The sequence below is a fragment of the Homo sapiens genome, chromosome 14 (assembly GCF_000001405.40).
Source record: "Homo sapiens chromosome 14, GRCh38.p14 Primary Assembly".
Classification (NCBI taxonomy): domain Eukaryota; kingdom Metazoa; phylum Chordata; class Mammalia; order Primates; family Hominidae; genus Homo; species Homo sapiens.
The window spans coordinates 20,582,466-20,607,393 of NC_000014.9; the positions used below are offsets into that span (position 1 = coordinate 20,582,466).

A 24,928-nucleotide genomic window follows, 5' to 3' on the forward strand; every position below is an offset into this window, starting at 1 on the left:
GATGGAGTCCACCCTTCTTTTTGATGAGTGGGTGGTAGCATCAGACTCACTATGTGGAGCTATCCCTGGGATGGAACTCGGTAAGCACATCTTCCTTTCTGGGTCCTGAGTCCTCCTCCTACAGAGAAGAGACCTTTGGGACCCAAGCATTTTGCTTTATTGCTCTGTCCTTTGGCTGCCGAGTGCAAACTGAGTCCTAATTACATACCTGTTTGGCCAAACCCACATTGATTATTTAAACAACGCCTACACTGACAAGGGAAAGCCAGCTCAAACGTACAAAAATGTTGCTGTAATGCTGCAAATTGGTTGATTGTAAATGTTTTACAGTTCCAGTATATTGAGAATTCTGCACCAAATATGATAAAGCTTCGGGAAAATGACATATAGAGAATTATGTACAAGAAAGATGTTACCATGACATAATTTACATACATTTACATGCATTTAGTTAAAATTAGAACATTAAGAAAGAGTGGTCTCAGGATGGAGGGAGGATTTAAGGAGAGGAATAGAAACATATGGCCACACATCGATGAAGAAGATAACTGTCCATACTTTAAGCAGAATGTTGAACCACGAACGTTTGCAAATAAATAGCTGGTAGTGAACAAAATTAACTACAGTATCATAAGACATCAAGGTTGAAGACCAGTCCTGCCTGGTACTTAGCACAGACTTTCTATTCCCATCTTTCTGGCTCCTCTATTCTTCCATGGCTTGCCATTCCTCTCCCACAGCCCCAGGGTATCAAGACTTGGCTTGAATAAAGATTACAATAAGAATTTTCTTCTCTTTACAGCAACCTGTGAAATAGAGATGGGGGTGGAAGAATGGAGATTGCATAGGGCTGGAGCTATTGACACTGAGAGCATCAGCTCAGCCAAAGAATCTTTTTCCTCTGGCATTTCCTGAAGGACAGGCAGACTCTTTGTTATGTGCATACATCAATTCACACAAGTGTGAGCACATACCCTTTGAAGAGAGTAGTGATAATAATATATGTCACACTCATTCACTATTTTTCTGAATAGTATCATTGGCAGTACAATTAGCTTTTCATTGTCCATATTGGCTTTAGTCCTTGTTTCCTTAATTCTGCCTAGTTAGGTGGATTCTGTTTCTTGGCTTTATAGCTGAGCTAGGATGAAATTCAGTTTGTTTTACACCCTCCCCACCCTCCCCCCACACAGAGAGAGAGATAGAGAGAGAAGAATCTGCACGCCAGTATCAGTCATAACTTTTAATTGAATTATCCACAATTTTGGATTTTTCACTCCTCCAGTTAGAATAAATAATCAGGAGTTCACTATAGTGCTAAAGAGTAGATATTAAGGAAAGGTTTAAACAAGAATGAACAAGAAGAGGTCCTTCTTTAGTAAGACCCTAGTCCTAAAGCTCTGTGGGATTTACAACTTAGAGCCACAAACTAACCAGCTCATCAGAGAATGACCTGTCAGCACTGTCAATATCTTCTCTAATGAGGTAACACTATGGTATTGGCACCTGGGGAATTGTTTGCCTGTAGTGAACTGGCACACTGTATTTTCCAGTTCTAGGCTCTCACAGCAGCTTATGCCAGGATTCTGTACAAACTTGCAGCTGGGGGCCCTGTGGACCCTGCGCATCACTTCTGTGGAGCTGCGGATGAAGTTATTGCTCCACTTGCACGATCCGTTTGCTTCTGAAACTTTTCTCCAGACTGTCATGTCATTGCAACACTCTTTGTCATTACCCGAACTGTTTCCCTTGGGGTCATTATAATGTAAACTTCTGAATGTCAGTAATGTGGAAGACATATCATCCTTGGACATGCTGAGGCTGGTATTTTTAACTAACAGGATCGGGTTCATTAATATCTCAATGGTCTGTTTTTCTTGGCCACTTTTTGCCATGTCATATTGCATCTCTTCGTCTGTAAATTCTTCTTTAATTATCTTCATTGTGCTTTCTGATGCTTCTGCAAGAACCAGGCCCAGGCTGAGCAGCAGCAGAGGAAAGGTCTCCATCTCAGATGTAGTGTAATCTCTTCTGCAGTAAAGACAATAAATGAAAGATAAAATAAGAAGATTAAAGAGGTAGTTCTTTCTTCCTCCTGACAGTTATTCCTGGTAGGGACCCCTACATGTAGGTTAAAATTTTTATATCTGTGAATGGAACTATGATATAATAGAAAGACAATCAGCTGTGGAGTCTGAAGACTCATGTTCAAATTCCTGCTTTTCTGCTTATAATTTATTCAACCTTATTTAACTCCAGTTTCCCCATCTGAAAAAAATTGTGAGAATTACGTAAGGTGACATGTTTAAAGATCTACAACCAAGTATTTGTTTCTTATCCTTTTCCCTTGGTCTATAATCTCATTGGTGGGGTGTATAATCTCCATGGTGGGTCACGATTCTCACTCAACACATTCCCTCACCATTACTGTATCTCCTATAGCCTCATATAGAACCTGGCACATGGTAGCCACTCGAAAACAAAATAAAACACACATTGCCATTTCCCCATCTCTCATTTCTTTTGCCACCCATTCTCATTCATAAGATTTCTGTCTTTACCAGTTCCTTCGGCAAGTTGATCCTGTAGAGGAAGATTCCACTTTGTTGCAGAGCTAAAAGTGAAATCGTGTTTGTTTCCTGGGAGTTTCTGCTGTTGTGTCTAACTGAGGGAAGGAGGGGCAACAGAGGGGTAGATAGGGTTGTATGAGATTGACTCAGGAGACCACGTGGAACCAAGGAAGCTCAGGGAGAACTGAACAAAGTGCCCATTTGGCAGTCGGAATCCCAATGACCTGGGCAGTACCATTGCTTCTTATTCTGTGAAATATTTTCTGTCTATTTATACCAAAACCCAGCATGACTTTTTTGTTTTCTGAAACCCTACAGCACAGATTAAGTTGCACTTCATTTTATATGATCTTTTTCATTTTTCCAGTTAGTCAATTCATGTTAATCTTTTCTCCCTCTTGTTAGGCTAAAAATTCCTCGAGCCTGAAACACAGTTTCTGATTATTTATACTTTTATTCATATAGAATCAAATAATGAACTGTAGATTAATAAAGAATCTGCACTCCAGGATCAGTTATAAATTTTAATGGAATTATCCACAATTTTGCATTCTTCACTCCTCCAGTTAGTATAAATAATCAAGAGTTTACTATAGTGCTAAAGAGTAGATGTTAAGGAAACAGGAAGAAGAGCAGAGCAGAAATTCTCAGTCTTTCTGAAACATGTAATTCAAGTGGGCAGCATTCATAGCTGCCTGAGTTTTATTTAGTGTGTGTAATTACTGCACACACACTAATTTCTCAACACTATTTGTTAACAACATAACATGACCTTACTAGTATATAAAATCCTTTACTTGAGGTCAATCCTGGAAAATCCCTAAAGAAAGGTTATTTAAGTTAATAATTATTTCTCTCTCTTTAGAATGATTCTATTTTCCTCTTTTTTATGTTCCACCTCTAAAGCCACCATCCCTTCTACATTGATCTCCTACATTATTACCCTTACTTCCCTCCTAATCACCCCTTCCTGACCCTCCAATTTCTTCTATACACTACTTTTCTAAAAACATAACTTGCAACAACACTCAGAATTTTTGAAACATTCCTCTTTGCTCACAGTAGGAAGTCTGATCCCCTGAGCCCAGGAGCCAATGCTCCACTTGCTCTCATCTCAATCTGCCTATCGGGATTTATCTCCCATTATTTTGCTACACAAACCTGCCCTAGTCAATCAGTGTGACTCTTTTTTTAATATACCCTATGCCATCTCTCCCACTTAGCTTCTTTCTTGAATGGCTATTCTTTCCTGCCTCTTGAAATCCTTCAAAGCCCAGTTCAGATCTCATTCTTTATTTTACATGTTTCATCACCGCTTAAGTCTACTAAATCCATTTCCAACTTCTCTGAACTTCTTATCATTCCCTTCTTATACCACTCATTTGATGTTATTATGTATGAACTTTTAAAAAATTATATTTGAATTTAAAATGTCTGTGTGAGAAACTAGAGGAAAAACCTAGCACCAAGAATACATAAGCCTTAATTGGGTTGATGGATTATTGATAGATTATTAAGAATTAAGTATATGTGTCCAGGTGTGTGTCCAAGGATGCCTTGACCAAAGACCTGATACATTTTGAAGGCAGAAAGGATGAGGGATTTATAGGGAATTTATTTTGTTTCCTAAACTTCTATATCCTATACCATTGACATCAGTAGTGAGGTGACAATAGGGAAACAGAAAGACCAGGAGGAGAAAGATAAACAGGAAGAAGAGCAGGGCAGAAATTTCCAGTCTTTCTGAGACATATATTTCAAGTGGGCAGCATTCACAGCTGCCTAGGTTTTATTTGAAACTGCTAAGAGGTGCCCTTTAAAAAAATATACCTGGCTGGGCACAGTCACTCATGCCTGTGGTCTCATTGCTTTGGGAGGCCAATGCGGGAGGATCACTTGAGGCCAGAAGTTCAAGACCAGCCTAGGCAACATAGTGAGAATCCATCTCTACAACAACAACAACAACAAAAAGCCAGTTGTGGTGGCATATGCCTATAGTCCCAGCCACTCGGGAGGCTGAGAGGAGAGGATTTCTTGAGCCCAAAAGTCTGAGACTGCAGTGAGCTGTGATCACACAACTGCACTCCATCCTGGGCAACAGAATGAGACTCTGATCCTATATATCTGTATAATATATATGTATATACATATTTAGATACAGATAGATAGATATAGATACACACACACCCAAACTACGAATGTCTAAAATGTCACAATTCATTTGAATTTGGTGTTGATCCCTATTGAATGAAATTACTCTGAGGATACATCCTATTGGTTCATCTCAGTTATACTTTTATCTGCAAGATATTTTTAATTAGAAAGGAGGAGCTTCGGTGAAGAAGGGGAGAAAAAGCACTGAAAAGGAAAGAAAAGACAACAAAACCTAGGGAGAGGGATAGAAAAAGGAATCAGAATTCAGAAAATAGATGTAGGAACCTAAAGGATGCATTTCATCCACTTCAAAGTTTTGCCCAAAAAATGATGCTACCAAGGCCCAACAAATCATGTGCTAGGGACCACCTACCTGTTCCTGTTCAGTTTCTATTCAGATGCTGAGGGCTCTGTTTACCTGGTGACACCCAAAATTCTATGGAGACAACAATGACAACAGAATTACCACAGAGAACTAGAAAATGAAACTCAGCTGAAAAACGGCCACCTAAGATGGAAGAAGCCATGAGATGAGTAAGCGTTGCCTACTCACAAGGTTGCAAACTGTCCTTCACTTACGATTATCCCCCAACGCCCCCTCCTAAATCTGATCAATCGCATGGAACTTGATGGTTACAAAAGACAGAGCTAACAACTAGCGTAAGTGCACCTTCTTCTTTGACATGACCTTGAACTAAGTCCAAATGAGCAATGAACAGCTGAAGTCTCTCAACTGAAAAGATCAGGACAGAGAGTGCTCTCCAAAGCCTGTGACCCACCCATGCCTGCTCTAGGTCACTGTATGAGTCTCTAGCTCTCACATACAGGATTGAAATGCCATAGCTCAGAATTAGTGACAACATAATCTGGCCTTTATTTGCCAATTGCCCCTTATTTCTTACTACCTCACAATACAAATTCTCCCCTCCAACAATGGCTATAATATAGCCATTTTCTGTACTACTTAAGAAATAGAATTATAGACTAATAGACTTGGAAAGAACTTGAAAGATTATCTAATTCAAGATCCTCACTTTACAGACAAGGAAACTAATGAATAGAGAAGAAGAGGACTTCATGAAATCCCCAGAATTAGAAATCTCTCTTTCTCGTCCTTCTCCTTCTAGCTGTAAGGATACTATGCCCATAGCTGAATGTGGGGAAACTAAGCAGTAAGTCCAATTGTAAGAACTAAAAAGAGAAAAGAGTTAGTAGTCCGGCTCAAAGTCCTCTCTGTTCCTTCTGGAGACACAAAGAGGAGGTCACTGAGCTCTGAAAGTCTCAATCCCTCCCTGGGAAATCCTTATCTGTGTCTCTCTAAAGTCTTTAAGGGAAATGGTTTCAGACCAGTCAGGCTCCTTTCTTTATTTCAAGACACAAAGGGAGCTGCTGAACAGGAACAGATGCTGCCTGAGTTGTATATGCTATCTTTAAAAAAGACCCTAAGAGGTGACCTCTGTTGCTTCTACAGCTAGAAGCAGAGCTAGGATTAGGCTGAGGTTAATGAGACACTCACTCTAAGACCAAAATTTAAGAGAGTGCCACAAAACTCAATAATCAAGATAAATAATATTTTAATGCAACAATTTTAGAAAATATTTATTTATTTATTTTTGAGACAGAGTCTTGCTCTGTTGCCCAGGCTGGAGTGCAATGGCATGATCTCGGCTCACTGCAACCTCCACCTCCCAGGTTCAAGCGCTCCTCCTGTGTCAGCTTCCCAAGCAGCTGGGATTACAGGCGTGCACCACCACACCCAACTAACTTTTGTATTTTTAGTGGAGAGGAGGTTTCACCATGTTGGCCAGGCTGATCTCAAACTCCTGACCTCAAGTGTTCCACCTGCCTCAGCCTCCCAAAGTGCTGGGATTACAGGCATGAGCCACCACGCCTGGCCAGAAAATAAATTTAATGCAAAATAATCCCTGATGAACAAATGTTAAAATTTTAAATACCAGGATCTGGCCCTGCACTACGTTTCTCACATAACTCATCTTACCCTGATCCTAGCCTTGTCAGATTGGATCTTCAAAATTTTGTGATAGATATTTTGAGCATCCAAGATTTCTTTTTTTTTTTTTTTGAGACGGAGTCTCACTCTGCCGCCCCGGCTGGAGTGCAGTGGCGCGATCTCGGCTCACTGCAACTCCGCCTCCTGGGTTCACGCCATTCTCTTGCCTCAGCCTCCGGAGTAGCTGGGACTATAGGCGCCCGCCACCACGCCCGGCTAATTTTTTGTATTTTTAGTAGAGACAGGGTTTCACCGTGTTAGCCAGGATGGTCTCGATCTCCTGGCCTCGTGATCCACCCGCCTCGGCCTCCCAAAGTGGTGGGATTACAGGCGTGAGCCACCGCGCCCGGCGAGCATCCAAGATTTTTGCATTAATTTTGATTGTTTTAAAATACTGAAATCAAGGCCAGGTACAGTGGCTCACGCCTGTTATCCCAGCACTTTGAGAGGCTGAGGTGGGCAGATCACCTGAGGTCAGGAGTTTGAGACCAGCCTGACCAACATGGAGAAACCTCATCTCTACTAAAAATACAAAAATCAGCCGGGCGCGGTGGCACATGCCTGTAATCCCAGCTACTTGGGAGGCTGAGGAAGGAGAATCACTTGAACCCGGGAAGCAGAGGTTGCAGTGAGCCGAGATCGTGCCATTGCACCCCAGCCTGGATAACAAGAGCAAAACTCCGTCTCAAAAAAAGAAAAAGGAAACACTGAAATCAAATATATTCATCTAGGTTACTAGGTTTTTGGTCTTCTGGTGCCCTCTTAAGTTTTGCACCTCAAGTGAGTGGCTCATTCCCTTTATCTTAATCTCAGTCCTGTTTCTCATCAAAGGACCTAGAGATAAGGGACAAAAAATGGAAACACATGTAGAATTTATGGTTTAATTCAGTAAAGATTATTTTATTGAAGCAGAATAAAACAATCCCAACCCAGCAATACAGGAAGGATAAATTAATTACCAGTGGCTTCCCCTTCCGCTCAAGGCATTGCCCCATGTCCACGGTCCAGGTCTGCCTCAGGCACAGCCAGCTCCAATGCCATTGAGAGAAGAGATCTCAGACTCGGGAGCTGATCTTGAGTTATTTAACATAGCCAAGGAAACTATCTGGCCTCAAGTCATCACAAGTGACAAGAACAAACCCCTCTGTGGGGGAATAGTGGTACCTGCAGGCAGGGTATCTTGTGCCTTCAATGAGCTGACAGACTGTCATTTTGAACTTTGTCTCACTCTGAAAGCAGAAAATGGCCGAAAGGTTTTGGCAAGCAACCTTCTTGGGAGAAATGCAAATACCATTGATTTTTCGAGGCCTCTCATGGATGAAGACATGCTCCTTTTTACAAGTGTGGTCAGGTTCCCTGATAACTCTTTGTATGATCATGTGGTTGCAGTACCTTGCAGGAACGGGAACGTCATTCTGAGGGTAGTCCACATGCAAGTGTTCTAAAGTTGACATCACTGCTTCATCATTCACCTCATTTTCCCAGAACAGAAGCACCAAGAAAATTATCACCATTATTATCATCAGAGGTAAGAGTGACTTCGCATCTTTGGCTTTGACTGCTGTTGAGTAAGGGAAGATAGAAAGTAGCAAAGGACAGTCAGATTCCTCCTGCTCCAACCCCTGGCTGCTCCCCCATCCTTGGAATATTTTATTTCCTTCTCTCCACTAATTAAAATCACACTGACCTTGCAAGATCCAGCTGGAGGCATAGTTCCCCAAGAAAGCCTTTTCTGAACATGCCAGCTCTCAGAGTTTGGTACTGAGCTGTTCTCTAAATTATTCCTGTTGTGTTTGTTTTGTTCTACAAGTTCTTTGACAGCAGATACCACATCTCCTATTTCTCAAATCCTTCGAAGTGCTCAACACAGAGCTAGACATATAGAAAGTGGTCAAGGTTATTCATATTGCTGAATAACCTTCTTTCCCGTAATTTTCTCAACCTTAAATCCACCCAATTGCACATGATTTTAGTACCTTCTACTCATCTATTCTTCCCAATTCCTTCCAAGTCCCTCCCTCTGTCAATCCTGCTTGGCTCTGTGCTAGCTCCTCTCACCTGTCATTTTTCTGGTCACTGTCACAGGTAACATAGCCTTTTGATCATGAATTTGACAAAATCGCTTGTGTCTTGCTGTTCCCTGACAATAACTGATAGAGAGCCTGTTGTTGAATGTGGGGAGGGCCAAAGTAGAAAGAGCAGAAAGGAGGGACCCGCACAGGGTGTGCTTGGGCACCGCTGGGGAGGAAGAGAAGTTACCTCCAGCAGGACAGTCGGGTAAGGCAGGTCCTGAATGTGTCCTCATTAAACAAGTGAGGACTTTTCAGAACATTTAGTGAAGGCCAATGTGTGCCAGCCACAGTACTGTCTCCTTTCTAAATTTTCAATCAGTCCTTATGACAAATACATGAAATTTTTCATTTCATTGACAAATAAATGAGTTGTAGAAAAGGTTAAGGTGGAGATGGGAAGTGAGAAGGAAAGCAAGAGTCCCATCCTTTCAGTGCCAAACACTCGAATTCCAGTTTTAGCGAGTTTCATTTCCACCCGGCGTCCAGCACAGGACAAAAACAATTCCCTTGTAATAACGTTAATCTTGATAAAGCCCTGGGCTTCTGAGGAGTATGGAGACAGTTCCCAAACTGCTGAACGTTGGAATCAACGGGAGATTTAAAAAAGTATTGGCTTCCACCTTGATACATTCTGCTTTAACTGATATTGTGTGCGATCTGGGTTGGGGATTCTTAAAGGATCCCCACGTGATTCTAATATATAGCAAAAGTTATAAGGGGAACCACTGAACCATGGTATACATGGGAAACCCACATGGGAGATTAGTGGATAAAGGCTTAGCTAAAACACAGTGGTTCAAAGTATTGAGACCAGAGAATTATTTTTGTTGCTATCATCTCCCAGTTAGTTGATATAGGAACGGGCAAATGGACTTAGTTTTACTACTTCATGCCCTGAAGTCATTTCTCTTTTGGAGCGACAGGTACAAAATCTCCTCTGTGCATATCTGTGTCTTTCTAATTGGCAGGAAGAAAATAATCGCAGCGTAAAAAATTATCTAGGAAAAACAGAATCCTGGAGAAGCCTTCAAAGAATGCTTTTCTTTCTATACAAAAACGAAAGCAAAATTTCAAATTGTGAAAATGAGCAACCAGGAGAATATATTTACTTCCAGAAATGTCCATTCTGGGTGCCCTTTCAGAATTCAGACTATCCTGTTTTGGATATGTGTTACCCAATGCCACAAAGATATAAGTGCATGCTTAATTTTTGACATGATTTTCAATTAACAAAATTTGATTTTGTACATCTTGCAGAAACATTTCCAATGTATACAGAGAATTATATCTATGTACTGTAACATGTTCATTATTTCCTGCCAGAACTTCCAAGTAGCTGAAGTACAGATAATTTACTAAGTGTACAGGCAGAGAAGTAATCCCCGTTACAAAGATTTTCCCCAAAGGAGGCAACTAAACCTATCCCTAGGGTATCACACTGCAAAAGGAGTTGAGACTGAGTCCAAATGTTAACTAGTGTGGCAGCCTGGAAGAAAATATTTGTAATGCCTAAAACCACATTTGTGGTTTTAGATTTATATGTAGATTAGCATCTACATATAAGAAACTCCTTCATGTCAGCCCTAAAAAGACAGGAAACCCCAGGGGAAAAAAAAAATAGTCAAGGAAAAGCCAATTTCAGAAGATAAAGCCAAAATGGGTAATGAGCAATGCTCCACTTCATTAGTAATTAAAGAAATGAAAGCTTGAAATAACAAAGAAATAGTTTATAACCATCAGATTATCAAAAATGATTATCAAGAATTGGAAAAACAGATCATATCAACTGCTGGTAAAAACATTGCTGGGCATAAAAATAGATGTGGCAATACTAGAAAGGAATCTGGAAACGTTTGGTAAGATTAAGGGTTTGACCTGAGACCTTTTAATCCCACTCCTGGGTGTAGAATCTAACAAAATGCCACAGTATTTCTTCTGCATCAAATTAAAACTAATTCAGAATGGGCGCAGTAGCTAATGCCTGTAATCCCAGTACTTTGGGAGGCAGAGGCCGGCAGATCAATTAAGGGCAGGAGTTTGAGACCAGCCTGGGCAACATGGTGAAACCCCTTCTCTATAAAAACACAAAAATTAGTGGGGTGTGGTGGTGCACGCCTGTAGTCCCAGCTACTTGGGAGGCTGAGGTGGGAGGATCACCTGAACCCAGGAAGTAGAGACTGCAGTGAGCAGAGATTGTGCCACTGCACTCCAGCCTGGGTGACAGAGTGAGATTCCATCCCCCACCAAAAAAAAAAAAAAAAATTAAAACTAATTCTGAGTCTTTTGACTTAGAATTAATTTTCCTTGGGGAGAATTTCAACTCATGCCATTATAAAGTTCCCTTTTCCTCCCCAGATTTCCAGGGGAATCTGGACAGCATATTGTTCTTATTCCTTCTTTATTCTGTGGCACCTGTAGTGGCCAACGGCATTAACTAAGGGACAAACATTCTCATTCACCTCTGGTAAAAACACCTAGAATACAGAGTTCAGATCCAGAATCTTGACCCTTTGTTGTAGTAAGACGTGACTTTTTTCAAACACCTACTATATAAAGGATTTTTGTCACCTATTGTAAGGGCCTTTTATCATTCACATATTATTTAATTCAACATATATTTATTAAACACTACCTGTGCCAGGCACTCTTCTAGGCCCTTGGGACACACCAGTGAAAAGGCAAATGTCCCTCTCCCCACTACTGACTCTGAATCAGTACCTCAGTATGAAAATTGGTAATTAAAATATAAGACTAGTACATTTATTCTGCCGTTCCTTCAGGAAGTATATTCCTGGGCGACCAAATCGCTTCCATGTGCTGTGGAAAAGCTCTTCTTTAGAGAACAATGACAACTAATAAATATGAAAAGAATAATAAAATTAGAAAATCGCAATTTTATAATCATTAATGAAATCATTAAGCCAGGCAAAAAGCATTTGCTGGGTGGTAAAATTATTAAATGAGAGGCTATATAAGGCCGGGCACGGTGGCTCACGCCTGTAATCCCAGCACTTTGGGAGGCCGAGGAGGGCGGATCATGAGGTCATGAGATCGAGACCATGCTGGTTAACATGGTGAAACCTCATCTCTATTAAAAATACAAAAAATTAGCTGGGCGTGGTGGCGGGTGCCTGTAGTCCCAGCTGCTCGGGAGGCTGAGGCAGGAGAATGGCGTGAACCCGGGAGGCGGAGCTTGCAGTGAGCCGAGATCGCACCACTGCACTCCAGCCTGGGCGACAGAGCGAGACTCCGTCTCAAAAAACAAAACAAAACAAAAAACAAACAACAACAACAAAAAAACCAAACAAACAAAAAAAAAGAGAGGCTATGGGGAACTTTGCAATGGAAGATCTAGCTGCCACCACCCAAACAGAAGTAGAAGGTGAGTTATGATGTGCCTCCTAATAAGGTACTGTAGCACGTGCACAGCACTGTTTACCCAGTAGTATTGCCAAATAATTGAGCAGATTAGTTTATTATGCCTGAGATTTAGCTTCCAGATTATAGGAAATTTAGGGAAAAGAGGTGCAAATTATATAATACTACAAGGAAGCAATAAGACAGATCCAGATTATGTGACATTCTACCAGTTTCTTCACAAAGTCTATCACACAAAAACAAAGAGGGATAAACTGTTACAGATTAAAAGAATATTCAAATTTTGAATCTTACTTGAATGTGCATATGGACTGGGCATTAGATTATGTTAAGAACATAATTTTACTTTTATAAGATATAATAATTATAATTATGTAGAAAATGTCTTTATTTTTTGGAGATAATATTCAATAGTTCTAAGTGTGAAATATCATGATGTCAAGTATTTTCTTCCAAGAAATAAAGCAAAAAGAAACGAAGAAAGAAAAAGGGAGGAGGAAAACGGGAAGAGAGAAAAAAAATCTCTGGCAAATTTTTTATAATTGTTGCTTTTAGGAGGAGAGGTGTAATAGGATCTATTATTCTATTCTTTCTACTTTTGTGTATATTTGCAAATAAGTATTTTTTAAAAATTAAATTCCTACTCTCATGGAATTTACATCTGGTGGAAGGAGATAGACAATGAAAAATAAGCATAATCAATACTTTAGTGTTTTAGAGGATAATAAGTGCTGTGCACTTTTTTTTTTTTTTTTTTTTTTTTTTTTGAGACAGAGTCTCACTCTGTTGCCCAGGCTGGAGTGCAGTGGCACAATCGCGGCTCACTGCAACCTCAGCCTCCCAGGCTCAAGCGATTCTCATGCTTCAGCCTCCCGACTAGCCGGGATCACAGGTATGCACAACTATGCCTGGCTAATTTTTGTAGTTTTGTAGAGATGGGGTTTTGCTATGTTGCCCACGCTGGTCTGTAACTCTTGGACTCAAGCAAGTCACCCATCTTGGCCTCCCAAAGTGCTGGGATTTCAGGCGTGAGCCACTGCACCCAGCTGGTGTTGTGCAAATTTAAATAGGATGATCAGAGTAGTCCTAGCCATTACAGGTTTTCTCTTTCTGCCTTTCTAACCAAGCACTAATATTGTTTGAGAATGTACCAGTTCTCCACATAACCATGAGCTTCAAGGGAACCTGCTGGGGATCTGGGTGTGAATCTGCTGGGCCCTGAGTCAATCAAGGTAATCCCATTCATGTGGGGCCAGTGAGAAGGAAAGGATGCACAGCTGGAAGCTTTTGGGAAGAGTGCACAGGGTAAGGATAAGCTGCTGTAACAAAGACATCATCAGGCCAGGCGCAGTGGCTTATGCCTGTAATCCCAGCACTTTGGGAGGTGGAGGCGGGCGGATCACCTGAGGTCAGGAGTTGGAGACCAGCCTGGCTAACACAGTGAAACCCTGTCTCTACTAAAAATACAAAAATTAGCCAGGCATGGTGGCGTGTGCCTGTAATCCCAGCAACTCCGGAGGCCAAGGCAGGAGAATCACTTGAACCCAGGAGGCGGAGGTTGGAGTGAGCCGAGATCGTGCCACTGCACTCCAGCCTGGGCAACAGAATGGGGCTCCATCTCAAAAAAACAAGAACAAAAACAAAACAAAAAAACAAAGACATCATCAGTAATCCAGTGACTTAAAGAAGTTAGAAAGTGATTTCTTCTTGGCTTAACAGTTCAAGGTGAGCACTTCAGATTCTGTTCACACTATCATTCAGAAACTCAGAATTATTCATATATACTTTTCTAAAACCATAAAACACTTTAAGAAAATATTAAGAACTAATTCAACTATATTATGGAGTGGATACCCACCAGGTTATCTAGTCAGACTTTTTTTTAATTTAGATTTTTATTTTTAATTGACAAATAATAATTTTATATATTTATGAGGTTCAATGTGAAGTTTTGATATATATAGTACACTGTGGGATGATTATATCAAGCAAATTAACATATCCATTACTTTTTTAATAGTGCAGATCCTTTTTTAATAGCGAGAACATTTAAAACCTACTCTTCGAATAATTTTGAAATCTACAAAATGGCAGCATGGCCCAGGAGTGTGACTGGCAGTGAAGGAGCTGGGAAGACCTTGGATGCAGGAAGGTCATTTAAAGCAAAAGGTGCTCCCCTAACTCCACAATTTTCTAGACTTTTCCTACTTCTCTATCACCCAGAAGCTACCTTTGAGCACTTTGAGCACCTCTCTTAAGACAAAAAGGTTGAAAGTGCCTCTGAACTGGGTACCGATTTCTTTCCTTTTCTGTGTATTTTCACTAAGGAGCCCCCCGAACCATTTTCACCTCCTACTCTGGTGATGAAAAGAGTCAGGTGATATCCTGAGTTTCTTTCTAACAGTGGAAGTAGGCCTTGCTCATGAGGAAATCTAGGCTGGTTCACACACACTCTTAGTCACCCAATGCAAGTTCACATGTCAAGAAATATTTCTAAGAGCAATGCAAAGGCCATGGGACTTTACCAACCCCTCCAGGAACCCCTTCTTAAACTAACCACCCCCCTCTCTTCCTTGAGTGTCTACAAGAAGCTTTTCTGTGTGGTTCCAGCACATAACTCCCTAAGTGGTGCTACAGGCGATTCATCTGGCCTTCTCCTTGCATGCTGTGAGCCTCTGGAGAGCAAGAGGAATGTTCTTGTTCTCTCTAGCACAGTGCCTGGTATTTCTGAAGAGATCAAAAAATGTTTGTGGAGTGGATGAATGGGTGAAAGATGTCAGATCTTTCCCCTCTTCTGCCAGTAAGTAGCTGTGAAGTCATGTCACTGCTCAGGGTCTGCATTGCTTCCACTCTAAAATGGGGGTAATAAGAAAGAATAAAGGAAGAATTTGATTATTTGTAAGATCTCGCTCTGCTTTCACAAACTAAAGTTCTGAGCTAAATTAAAATGGACTCCATGGCTGTTCTCTTAAGATGACAATGCTCTGGCCACAAGTTTTATTTTCCCCCACCCTGAGGGAATAGGAGGTGGTCTCTGCCTCCCAGCCTGGAGTGCAGGGGAGCAGTAGCAACCGGGAAGCTGGAGCCTGGGTACCAGACCCTGAAGTGGGAGCTGACTCATGAGTGTGGTGGAGCAGTTCTGTGAACTTGCCTAGGAATTGGCATTCGGTTGAAGGGACACCTTCCTAAATCGGGAACACTTACTACTGGGGAAAAAAGGCACGAGACACCCCTGCTCTGGAGGGTTCATTGTCTACTTTTGGCAATTGCAGAGCTGTTTTCTTGACAAGGTGTGAAATGAAGGATTGTGCGGTACCCTCATAAGCCCCTGGGCACTCTTCCAAACCCCCTCCTACCACCTCACCTGTCCCCTTGTCCAGGTGGAGTAGATAGACTGGGGCCTGTGTGTGTCCAGAACAAGCTGTTCCTGATCGTGGGCAGGACATGTTCTGACGAAGCCATCAGTCTCAGCCCTGCAGTTATAGCCCTGTGCTATGCACATAGGAGGTCCTGTTCTCCCTTGGGGAAAAACAAGTCATTTCTTGCTTTATAACTTTCTTCGCGTCTCTGAAATGATTGCCACCAGGCAATAGCCCAAGGAAGACCAGGCTAAGGGAAAGTTACCTAAGTGTGTCTTTCTAACAGCTTCTGGGTAGGCCGGTGCCTTCAGTTTTCCACTTCTGAGAATGCTTTGATCATAGCTTATCTGGCTTCTCCTGTGTGTCCCCAGGCTCAGCCCTCAAAAGTTCCCTTTGAATTCTCCTTGAGGAAGGACCATTAGCCAGCCTTCCCCTATGGCACCTCCCGGACATTCATATCTTTCATAGCACTCCCAGGCTTGAAATAATATAAATGTCCCCTGATCCCAAATAATCACGAAGGCCCTAAAGAACCCAGATGTGGTAAAAACAGAAACTCCCACGGAGAACCCCGCCTCTACTAAAAATACAAAAAATTAGCCAGATGTGGTGCCGCGCGCCTGTAGTCCCAGCTACTCGGGAGGCTGAGGCAGGAGAATCACTTGAACCCGGGAGATGGAGGTTGCAATGAGCCGAGATTGCGCTATTGCACTCCAGCCTGGGCAACAGAGCAAGACTCCGTCTTGAAAAAAACAAAAAACAAAGAACAAAAAAAACACAGAAACTCCCTTTTCATAACCACCTAACTAGAGCAGAATGAGCAGTGAGCCGAGAGTTGTGAAAGCTGGATTCCTGGCTTGACACTGGCCCTGCCACTAACTAGTTCTGTGACCCTGAGCTTCATTCCATGGGTCTCACTGGCCTCCTTTTAAAGTGGCCGGGAGTTGGCAGAATTGGTGGGATGGAGGAGGTGAAAACAACTCACAGTTTTAGAGGTGAAAAAGCACCTCAAACTATACCATTCTCTGAAGCAGGGCTCTATGCTTGTGTATTAGGAAGTTGAAACGTGGCTCCCAGGGGCTCAGCCACGTTTCCAACAGCTTGTTCTGGACACGTACAGGCCCCAGTCTGTCTACTCCACCTGGACAAGGGGACAGGTGAGGTTGTAGGAGGGGGTTTGGAACAGTGCCTAGGGGCTTATGAGGGTACTGCACAAATCCTTCATTTCACACCTTGTCAACCCTACTGCACCACAGTGATCTTTTTAAAACACAAATCCAGTTATGTGCCTGTGATATCCACTTTCTTCATCTAAAATGTGTCAATGGCTTTTCATTTGTCTTAAGATAATGACCACAGTCCTCACCTCTGCCTACCAGGCCTTGCATAGATGGCCTCTCCTCAGACCACTCTCTCTCCATCTTCATATTCCTGCCATGCACTCCGCTTTTTTAGTTCCCTCAACTCTTTGGGCTTTCTTCCAACTCAAGGTTTTTGTTCGTTTGTTGCTGTTGTTTGTTGTTGTTTTGAGATGGAGTCTTGCTTTATTGCCCAGGCTGGAGTGCAGTGGTGCGATCTCAGCTCACTGCAACCTCTGTCTCCTCAGATTAAGCGATCTTCCTGCCTCAGCCTCCCAAGTAGCTGGGATTTCAAGCATGCACCACCGTGCCTGGCTAATTTTTGTATTTGCAGTAGAGACAAGGTTTCACCATGTTGGCCAGGCTAGTCTCAAACTCCTGACCTCAAGTGATCCGCCTCTCTCGGCCTCCCAAAAGTGCTGGGATTACAGGCGTGAGCCACCAGGCCCAGCCCAACTTAAGGTTTGTTGTTGTGGTTGTTGTTGGTTCCACTAAAGTAACCGTCAAAAAGATGAATGAGCTTTATAAAGAAAAGCTCTCTGATATTATAAAGAGCAAACTATAGCTCTTTTAGGCAATGAAAATACAGCATTACATTTACTCAATATTTATTGAGCAAACAGTTGTTGAACATTTATTGTATTCCAGGCACTGTGCTTAGAACAGAGATTTCTACAGGAAAGCAGACAGATGTTGTCTCTGCCCTCAAGAAACAGTCAGACAATTTTTTAAAGCTAAGAAATATAATAAATTTATTATGTTAGTGATAAGGACCGCAAGGGAAATTACAGGGTTTTATGCAAGCAAAACAGACTACTTCACTTGTTCTGGGTTTTCTGGGAAGGCTTGTCTAAGGAAAGGAAGGATGCATAGGTTCACCAGGCAGAATGGGGAAGGTGAGTGGAGTAAGGAACACTCCACAGTGAGAGAACCAGACTATGTGGCTGCAGCATGAGCTGTGGTACCCGGTGGCAGAGGCGCTGCTTGGATGCGCCCCAGTGGAAACATGGGAGGCAGTGGACAGGTCTCCCACAAGTGTGAAGAAGGCACTGAAGCAACTGGAAGCTCACACCACCAAGAAGGGGTGCACCTTCGCCAGCAGAGTTGGATGGGCATTTCTGACTGCACTACGTGAAGTATACGCTCAGTCCCTGCGGGACATGGCACAGCTAAAGGACCTTCAGGCCTAAGTTGGGTCTCTGGGGGCCCAAATGCACAGCTTGGAGCAAAACCTGGGTGTAAAGGACCTCCAGGTGCAAGCAGGGTGCTTACAGGCTCAGATAAACAGCCTGGAGCAGGAGCTGGAAATAACTGTTGGCATGACCTTGAGCCCATCCTCCAGGCCGGACACTCGCGCTTGGTCTGATCCTGAGGAGGAGGCTCCTCTGCTGTGGGCTTGTCCTGTGATCCATCAGAAGGTAGAACATGAGCAGCTGATGGGACCCTAGGGGAGAGCCCAGAGGCCCCCCGCAGTGGTGGAATACACCTCCTATAGTGCTTCTCTTTCCACTGAGTTTTGGGAGTTAGGTAAGCAATGCAAGGAGCACCCAGGGGAGCCCCCCCTGCCTGGCTACCCCATTTTGGGGATGAGGGGGCTGACAGCGTTTCTTGCTCTGCCTCCGAGATGGAGAAGCTGGCTTCTATCATAACTCACCCCTCCCTTCATCAGTGGCTGCAGCTGTGCCGATGGTTGGCACAAGGGCAAGGTGATCACATGTTAATTGAGTGGCTGATGGCAGCCATATGGACTGTTAGGAAGGATGCTGGAGAGATACCAGAAATTATGAGTCAATGGCAATCATAGCTGATTTGGTACAGGTACTCCTGGAGATGGGCATGCGGCAGGCTATGTTGGATCTGAATCCCTAGAGGCCAGATGATGAACATTTTATCTCCCACGTGAGGGATCTTGTGCTGACTGGCAGCCTCTGAGTGCTTTTGGCTCTCTAGCTGCTGTTCTTACTCCATATGTGGGGTGCCACATACATGAAGTGACTACTGCTATGGCAGCCCTTGAGGAGGCAGAAGGCCATCAGCGGGATTGGGGAATCCGCGCCATAAAGAAGGGGAAGGTGCCCCCTTCACAGGTAACCACCCCACGAAATAAAAAGGGACCCCAGCGGGTGACCCGCATGCAGATGTGGATGGATTTACTTGCAGCCGGGGTTGCTCGGGAGGAAACTGAGAGGAAACCCAATGGAATGCTGTTGGCTCTGTGGAGGCAATTGTACCCCCAGCAGCAATTCCGGAAAATACCCGAGGGGGCAAAATACTGTTGCTCAACCCAGCCCCGCGGGGACACGGCAGCTCAAGGATGATTTGCAGACTGGTGAAGAGACTGGGCCCTTCCTGTTTGATTAGGGAACTGGCCGAGGTGCTTGGCTTGGTGGGGGGCGCCGGACGACTGGAGGCCTCATGTGGAACTGGGAATCCACTAGTCCCCCACCAGTGTACAGCAGGTCCTAGCACTGGTATATACTGGTGCAGACTGCAGTCTTGTTTATGGGAACCCGGATAAGTTTCCAGGAAAAGCTGCATTCATTGATGGTTATGCGGGCCAGTCAGTGAAAGTGAAACCTGTGTCTCTGCATCTTGGAATTGGCCGCTTGGCTTCCAGCCTGTACGCTATGTATGTTTCTCCTATACCTGAATATATTCTGGGGGTGGACATTTTGCATGGTCTGGACTTACACACCACGGCCAGAGAATTCAGACTCCAGGTTCGTGTAGTAAAGCCGGTACTGCGTGGGCATATACATATCACCAGCCCCAAGTTCTGCCACAACCCCGACAGGTTACCTCCATTCATCAATACCGTTTGTCAGAGGGGCATACAGAGATAACCAAGACGATTAAGAAGTTAGAGGAGGTGCAAATAGTGCCTGACATCCATATCCCCTACAGTTCCCTGGGATGTCCAGTCAGAAAGCCTGATGGGACTTGGAGGATGAGAGTGGATTACCAGGAGCTGAATAAGGTGACACCCCCTCTGCATGCAGCTGTACCATGGATTTGAGGGACCACCTGACAATGGAACTGGGACAGTACCACTTTGTAGTGGACTTAGCTAATGCACTCTTCTCCATCGACATTGCTCCAGAGAGCCAAAAATAATTTGTCTTCACATGGGAAGGGTGGCAATGGACGTTTACTGTGCTGCCACAGGGCTATGTGCATAGCCCCACCATTCGTCATGATCTTGTTGCCATGGACTTAGATGCCTGGAAATGTCCAAAAGGGGTTTGCCTGTTTCATTACATTGATGGTGTCATGTTAACCTCTGATTCTCTTGCAGATTAAGAAGCAGCAATGCCCCTCTTGTGGCAAGAGTTGGCAGCGTGCGGTTGGTATGTCAATGCATCCAAGGTCCAAGGGCCTGGATTGTCTGCCAAATGCTTGGGAGTTGTTTGATCAGGTAAGACAAATGCCATACCAGAGGCCATCATTGACGAAATCCAGGCATGCCCCTGACCCACCACGGTGAGGCAACTGCAGACCGTTGTGGGCCTCGTGGGGTATTGGCGGGTATTCGTGCCCCATTTGACTCAAATGATAAAACTGTTGTACCAGTGAACAAAAAAGGGAGCTACGTGGGATTGGGATGATGAGGCTGAAACAGGCTTTCTGGCTGCCAAGCAGGCCATTCAGCAAGCACCAGACTTACAAGTAATTGATCAGGGGCACCCATTTGAAGTTGATGTACTTGTAACCACAGATGGTTTCAGCTGGGGCCTACAGCAGCACACGGAGCACTTTAGAACGCCAATAGGTTTTTGGTTCCAGCTGTGGAAGGGAGCTGAGCTCCGGTATTCACTGATAGAGAAGCATTTAGCTGCTGTATATGCTGCTGTTCAGGCCTGTGAGAGCTTGACAGGAAGGGTTGCAGTCGCTGTGCAGATGACTAACCCAATAGCAGGGTGGGTGCATTCATGGGTAACAACCCCCCAGACTGGGGCAGCACAGGCATCCACATTAGCAAAGTGGGGTGCCTACTTAGAACAGCAGAGTATGCTGAGTACAAGTCTATTAGCAACAGAGTTACAAGAGGTCTTAGGGCCTGCAGTCCTAACGCAAGATAAGGCCATGGGACCTGAGGCACCCCACGCCTTGAGCCATCACCATTTAAAGAAGAGCGCCTTCCCATTCCTGATGGGGCATGGTATGCAGATGGGTCCAGCCGGGGTGCTACTGCTGCCTGGGCTGCTGTAGCAGTCCAGCCTAGCACCGATACCATATGGTTTGATAACGGGTGCGGACAAAGCAGCCAATGGGCTGAACTTAGAGTGGTGTGGACGGTGATAACTAAGAAGGAGTCACCTATAGTACTTTGCACCAATAGCTGAGCAGTCTGTCGAGGTTTAACTCTGAGGCTGACTACCTGGAAGTTACAGAATTGGCTTGCAGGCCATCGGCCCATTTGGGGCCAAACCACATGGCAAGACCTCTGGGAAACAGGTCATCAGAAAGATGTAACTGTCTATCGTGTGTCAGGTCATGTGTCTTTGGCCACCTCCAGTAATGATGAGGCAGATGCCTTAGCCAGGGTCTGATGGTGAGAGTCAGCACCTACACAAGATGTAGCTTTGTGGCTACATAGGAAATTGGGACATACAGGGAGTAAACTGATGCAACAGGTCAGTAGGCACTGGAGTCTGTCTTTGCCTTCACAGGACATTTTAGAGTCCTGCTGGAAGTGCCAGCATGTGCTCAGGCATACCCCAAATGGAGGCAGCTGCCCAGTATAACACAGCAAGTGACGGTAAGCCAGATGCCCTTAACCAGATGGGAAACGGATTCCACTGGGCCACTGCCAAAATCACAGGGCTACACATATGGCTATAGACACAGCCACTGGCTTGTTGTTTGCCTACCCTTGCAGGGCGGCTGACCAGCAACACACCATTCGAGCCCTGCAACACTTATGTGCCTTTATATGGCCGTCCCCTGGCTGTTAAAAGTGATAGAACACATTTCACTGGACAGCAGGGACAACAGTGGGCACAGCAGATGGACATACAATGGGGGTTTCATGTTTCTTATAACCCACAAGCCGCTGGCATGATTGAGCAATATAACAGACTCCTGAAGAACGGGTTACAGTTGCATGTTGCTCCCCAATCTTTGCGGGGCTGGAGTTCCAGGTTGGACCAATTACTTACAAGTAATTGATCAGGGGCGCCCATTTGAACCTGGTGTACACGTGACCACAAATGGTTTCAGCTGGGGCCTATGGCAGCGCATGGAGCCCTTTAGAACACCAACAGGTTTTTGGTCCCAGCTGTGGAAGGGAGCTGAGCTCCGGTATTCACTGATAGAGAAGCATTTAGCTGCTGTATATGCTGCTGTTCAGGCCTGTGAGAGCTTGACAGGATGGGCTGCAGTCGCTGTGTGGAACGACTTACCCAATAGCAGGGTGGGTGCATTCATGGGTAACAACTCCCCGGACTAGGGCAGCACGGACATCCATGTCCAGGTTGGACCAATTACTTACAAGTAATTGATGAGGGGCCAGTGCAACACATTTGCCATCTGGCTGAGGGCATCTGCCCTACCATCACTTAAAATTTTGTGTTAAAATTTTGAATGAGCGACCACGGAAAGGTGGCCCAGCCCTGGTGGAGACACTGTTACCGTGGGCCACCATCCCCATCCAGCTACAGATACACACCAAGGATGACCTCCTCTGACCAGGTATGGGGACAAATGGTAATCTATTGTTGCCTGCCCCAACGCCCCTGAAGGCAGGGGAAGAGAAAACCTGATGTTGGCCATGGACCCTCCAAGCCCCGCATTGCAGATGGTTAGCTATTGTAGCCCCCTGGAGGGAGCATCTGCAGTATGACTTACATGTGGTTCCTTGGGTATTTAATGTGTGGCCTCCACGATTGACCGTTTGTAGGGGAATGGCCAGGTAAGGGACCCTCCTATATATGTACTGTCTGTACATATATTTTGAGCTCCCCTGTGACTTTGGCTTGGGTACAAGACTGAAAAGGACCATGGGGAGCTGAGAAGGTGTGGTATCATCACCCAGGGCAGGAGCCTTGGCAGCTGCATTGTTATCCAGAGATGAAAAGTTAGCCTGTATTGGCTGGGCACGGTAGCTCACGCCTGTAATCCCAGCACTTTGGGAGGCTGAGGCGTGTGGATCACCTGAGGTTAGGAGTTCGAGACCAGCTTGAACAACATGGTGACACTCCATCTCTACTAAAAATACAAAAAATTAGCCAGGCGTGGTGGCACATGTCTGTAATCCCAGCTACGCGGGAGGCTGAGGAAGGAGAATTGCTTGAACCCAGGAGTCAGAGGTTGCAGTGAGCCAGGCTCGTGCCAGTGCACTCCAGGCTCAGCAACAGAGTGAGACTCTGTCTCAAAAAAAAAAAAAGAAAAAAAAGGAAAAGTTAGCCTGTATTTTGCCTGAGGGACGTGATTTCCCCGTTAATACCTGTGCCTGCTTTGTTGTTCTGGCTGTAGGTTGACATGCTCCAACAGCATTGTGGACTGGGCCCACACCTACGCTGAGGTGACCAATGTCTCCAACTGTTGGATCTGCTCCACCTTCCAGCAGCAGCTGCGGAGAGTTTGCCCTGGAACGCGTATCCTGCTTCTGTTAAGAACTGGACATGGCTAGAAGCTTGGGGTCCCACGGACAATGGGTGGGATGCCACAGGGCGGGCTTTGGATAGGAGGCATCACAAAACCCATGGCAAACCTGGCCCTTGGCTGACTCATAGTGTCCATGATGGATGGAGCTGGCTAATGGGAGAACACGTGGTGCCCCCATTGCAGGTATCACAATGTATAGAGCAGCACTGGGGTAAAGTCACTGTGGGATGGTTGCCTACTGAGGTTTGTGCAAACATAACATGTGTCACCACACCAAGGGTGCAGTGGAACAAGCGGCCTTACGAAGGCCAGGCCCCCATGGACTTTGTGCCCCCTGGGAGTTTATGGGTCTGTGGGGACACAGGATGGCCATATCTCCCAGCCAACTGGACTGGACATTGTACCTGGGGTTGGCCCTATGTGCCTGCCACTGGGCTTCCCACATTGCCTAGTCGCCACATAACTGGGAGCCACTGTGTTCCTGCTTTTTCCCAGTGCAGCAGGCCCTCTAGTGGTTCTATCCCTTAGCAATGACTATCCCTGGAGCAGGCGTCATTACTATAGAAAAGCAAGTTGCAGCCTTTGCAGACCACACAGCTCGGTCCCGAGTTGCCCTCCTTTTGTTAACTGATGAAGTTGATCAGATCAGGAAGGTGGTGCTGCAAAACCAGATGGCCTTAGACATAGTCGCAGCTGCCCAAGGTGGCACCTGTGCCCTTGTAGGGACACAAGGTTGTACATTTATCCCTGACAACCACTGGAATATAATGGCAGCTTCACAAGGGGTGTCATAGGAGATTAAGGTGATTGAGCACCTTACTGATGACCCCCTGCAGAGATGGTGGGCGTCTTTGGGATCTGGCCTACAATGGGCTCTCATAATCATAGGTAGCATAGCAGGAATATTAGTGGTAGGTTGTTGCTGTCTGTGTTGTTGCTGTGGCCTATGGGTCCAGGGTGCTGCCACATGTGCATGGGTCCCCACCAAGAGGATTCCCTGGCCTAGAGGGTGGAGTGTAAGGAACATGGCTGTGTGCAGGCAAGCAGGCATAGGCCAAGGTAAACAGCCTAGATGACTCAGTGGGATTGGGGCACAAGTGCACAGTCCCATATCTTATATAATCATAGCCGTGTAGGCACAACATAAAGAAGCTCCCCACCTGGCTCTCAGTCACTATCGTTTGTGTAGTGTATAAATGTAACACTGACCCTGTGAAGGGGCTGCTGAATAAAGCCATGTCTCATTTACCTGCTGTCTCTTGAGGGTTCTTCCAGCTCCCTGCCCCACGTCCACCTACTCCCCTCAGCCCTCAGCTGGGGCTGGAACCTAACCCTGAGCATGACAGAGATGCACAGAGGGTTGTAAGCAGAGAAATGACAAGCTCTTAGGATTTGACAGGATCATTCTACTTTGTGGAAA

At 44.8% G+C, this 24,928-nt stretch overlaps 2 protein-coding genes and 1 long non-coding RNA gene across 11 annotated transcripts; 1 reads left to right on the forward strand and 2 right to left on the reverse strand.

Annotated features, from left to right (window-relative positions):
- Positions 1 to 426: 426 nt before the first annotated feature.
- RNASE11 (ribonuclease A family member 11 (inactive)) lies at positions 427 to 7,792 on the reverse strand. Of its 9 annotated transcripts, NM_001394194.1 has the most exons (4): positions 5,504 to 5,536; positions 5,098 to 5,160; positions 2,562 to 2,665; positions 427 to 2,031 (listed from the first exon to the last, which is right to left on the reverse strand). In NM_001394194.1, exon 4 carries the CDS (start codon positions 2,007 to 2,009, stop codon positions 1,410 to 1,412), a length of 600 nt encoding a protein of 199 aa, NP_001381123.1. In that variant the 5' UTR covers positions 2,010 to 2,031; positions 2,562 to 2,665; positions 5,098 to 5,160; positions 5,504 to 5,536; the 3' UTR covers positions 427 to 1,409. The 9 variants fall into 9 exon arrangements, with proteins under 9 accessions (NP_001381123.1, NP_660293.1, NP_001381118.1 ...); NM_145250.5 differs by lacking the exons at positions 2,562 to 2,665; positions 5,504 to 5,536 and adding an exon at positions 7,695 to 7,792; NM_001394189.1 differs by lacking the exons at positions 2,562 to 2,665; positions 5,504 to 5,536 and adding an exon at positions 5,550 to 5,582.
- Positions 5,759 to 24,756, forward strand: RNASE11-AS1 (RNASE11 and RNASE12 antisense RNA 1). The gene is made up of 5 exons (NR_122043.1): positions 5,759 to 5,853; positions 7,972 to 8,263; positions 14,211 to 14,354; positions 20,198 to 20,317; positions 23,377 to 24,756. It is a non-coding gene; the product is annotated as an RNASE11 and RNASE12 antisense RNA 1 (long non-coding RNA).
- RNASE12 (ribonuclease A family member 12 (inactive)) lies at positions 7,608 to 8,911 on the reverse strand. Its single transcript, NM_001024822.4, has 2 exons — positions 8,794 to 8,911; positions 7,608 to 8,296 (listed from the first exon to the last, which is right to left on the reverse strand). The coding sequence occupies exon 2, from the start codon at positions 8,256 to 8,258 to the stop codon at positions 7,815 to 7,817; it is 444 nt and encodes a 147-aa protein (NP_001019993.1). The 5' UTR covers positions 8,259 to 8,296; positions 8,794 to 8,911; the 3' UTR covers positions 7,608 to 7,814.
- Positions 24,757 to 24,928: the final 172 nt, after the last annotated feature.

Excerpts from the sequence above, each read along its gene's own strand:
- RNASE12 (NM_001024822.4), bottom strand. The coding sequence starts at position 8,258 with ATGATAATAATGGTGATAATTTTCTTGGTGCTTCTGTTCTGGGAAAAT.
- RNASE11 (NM_145250.5), bottom strand. The coding sequence starts at position 2,009 with ATGGAGACCTTTCCTCTGCTGCTGCTCAGCCTGGGCCTGGTTCTTGCA.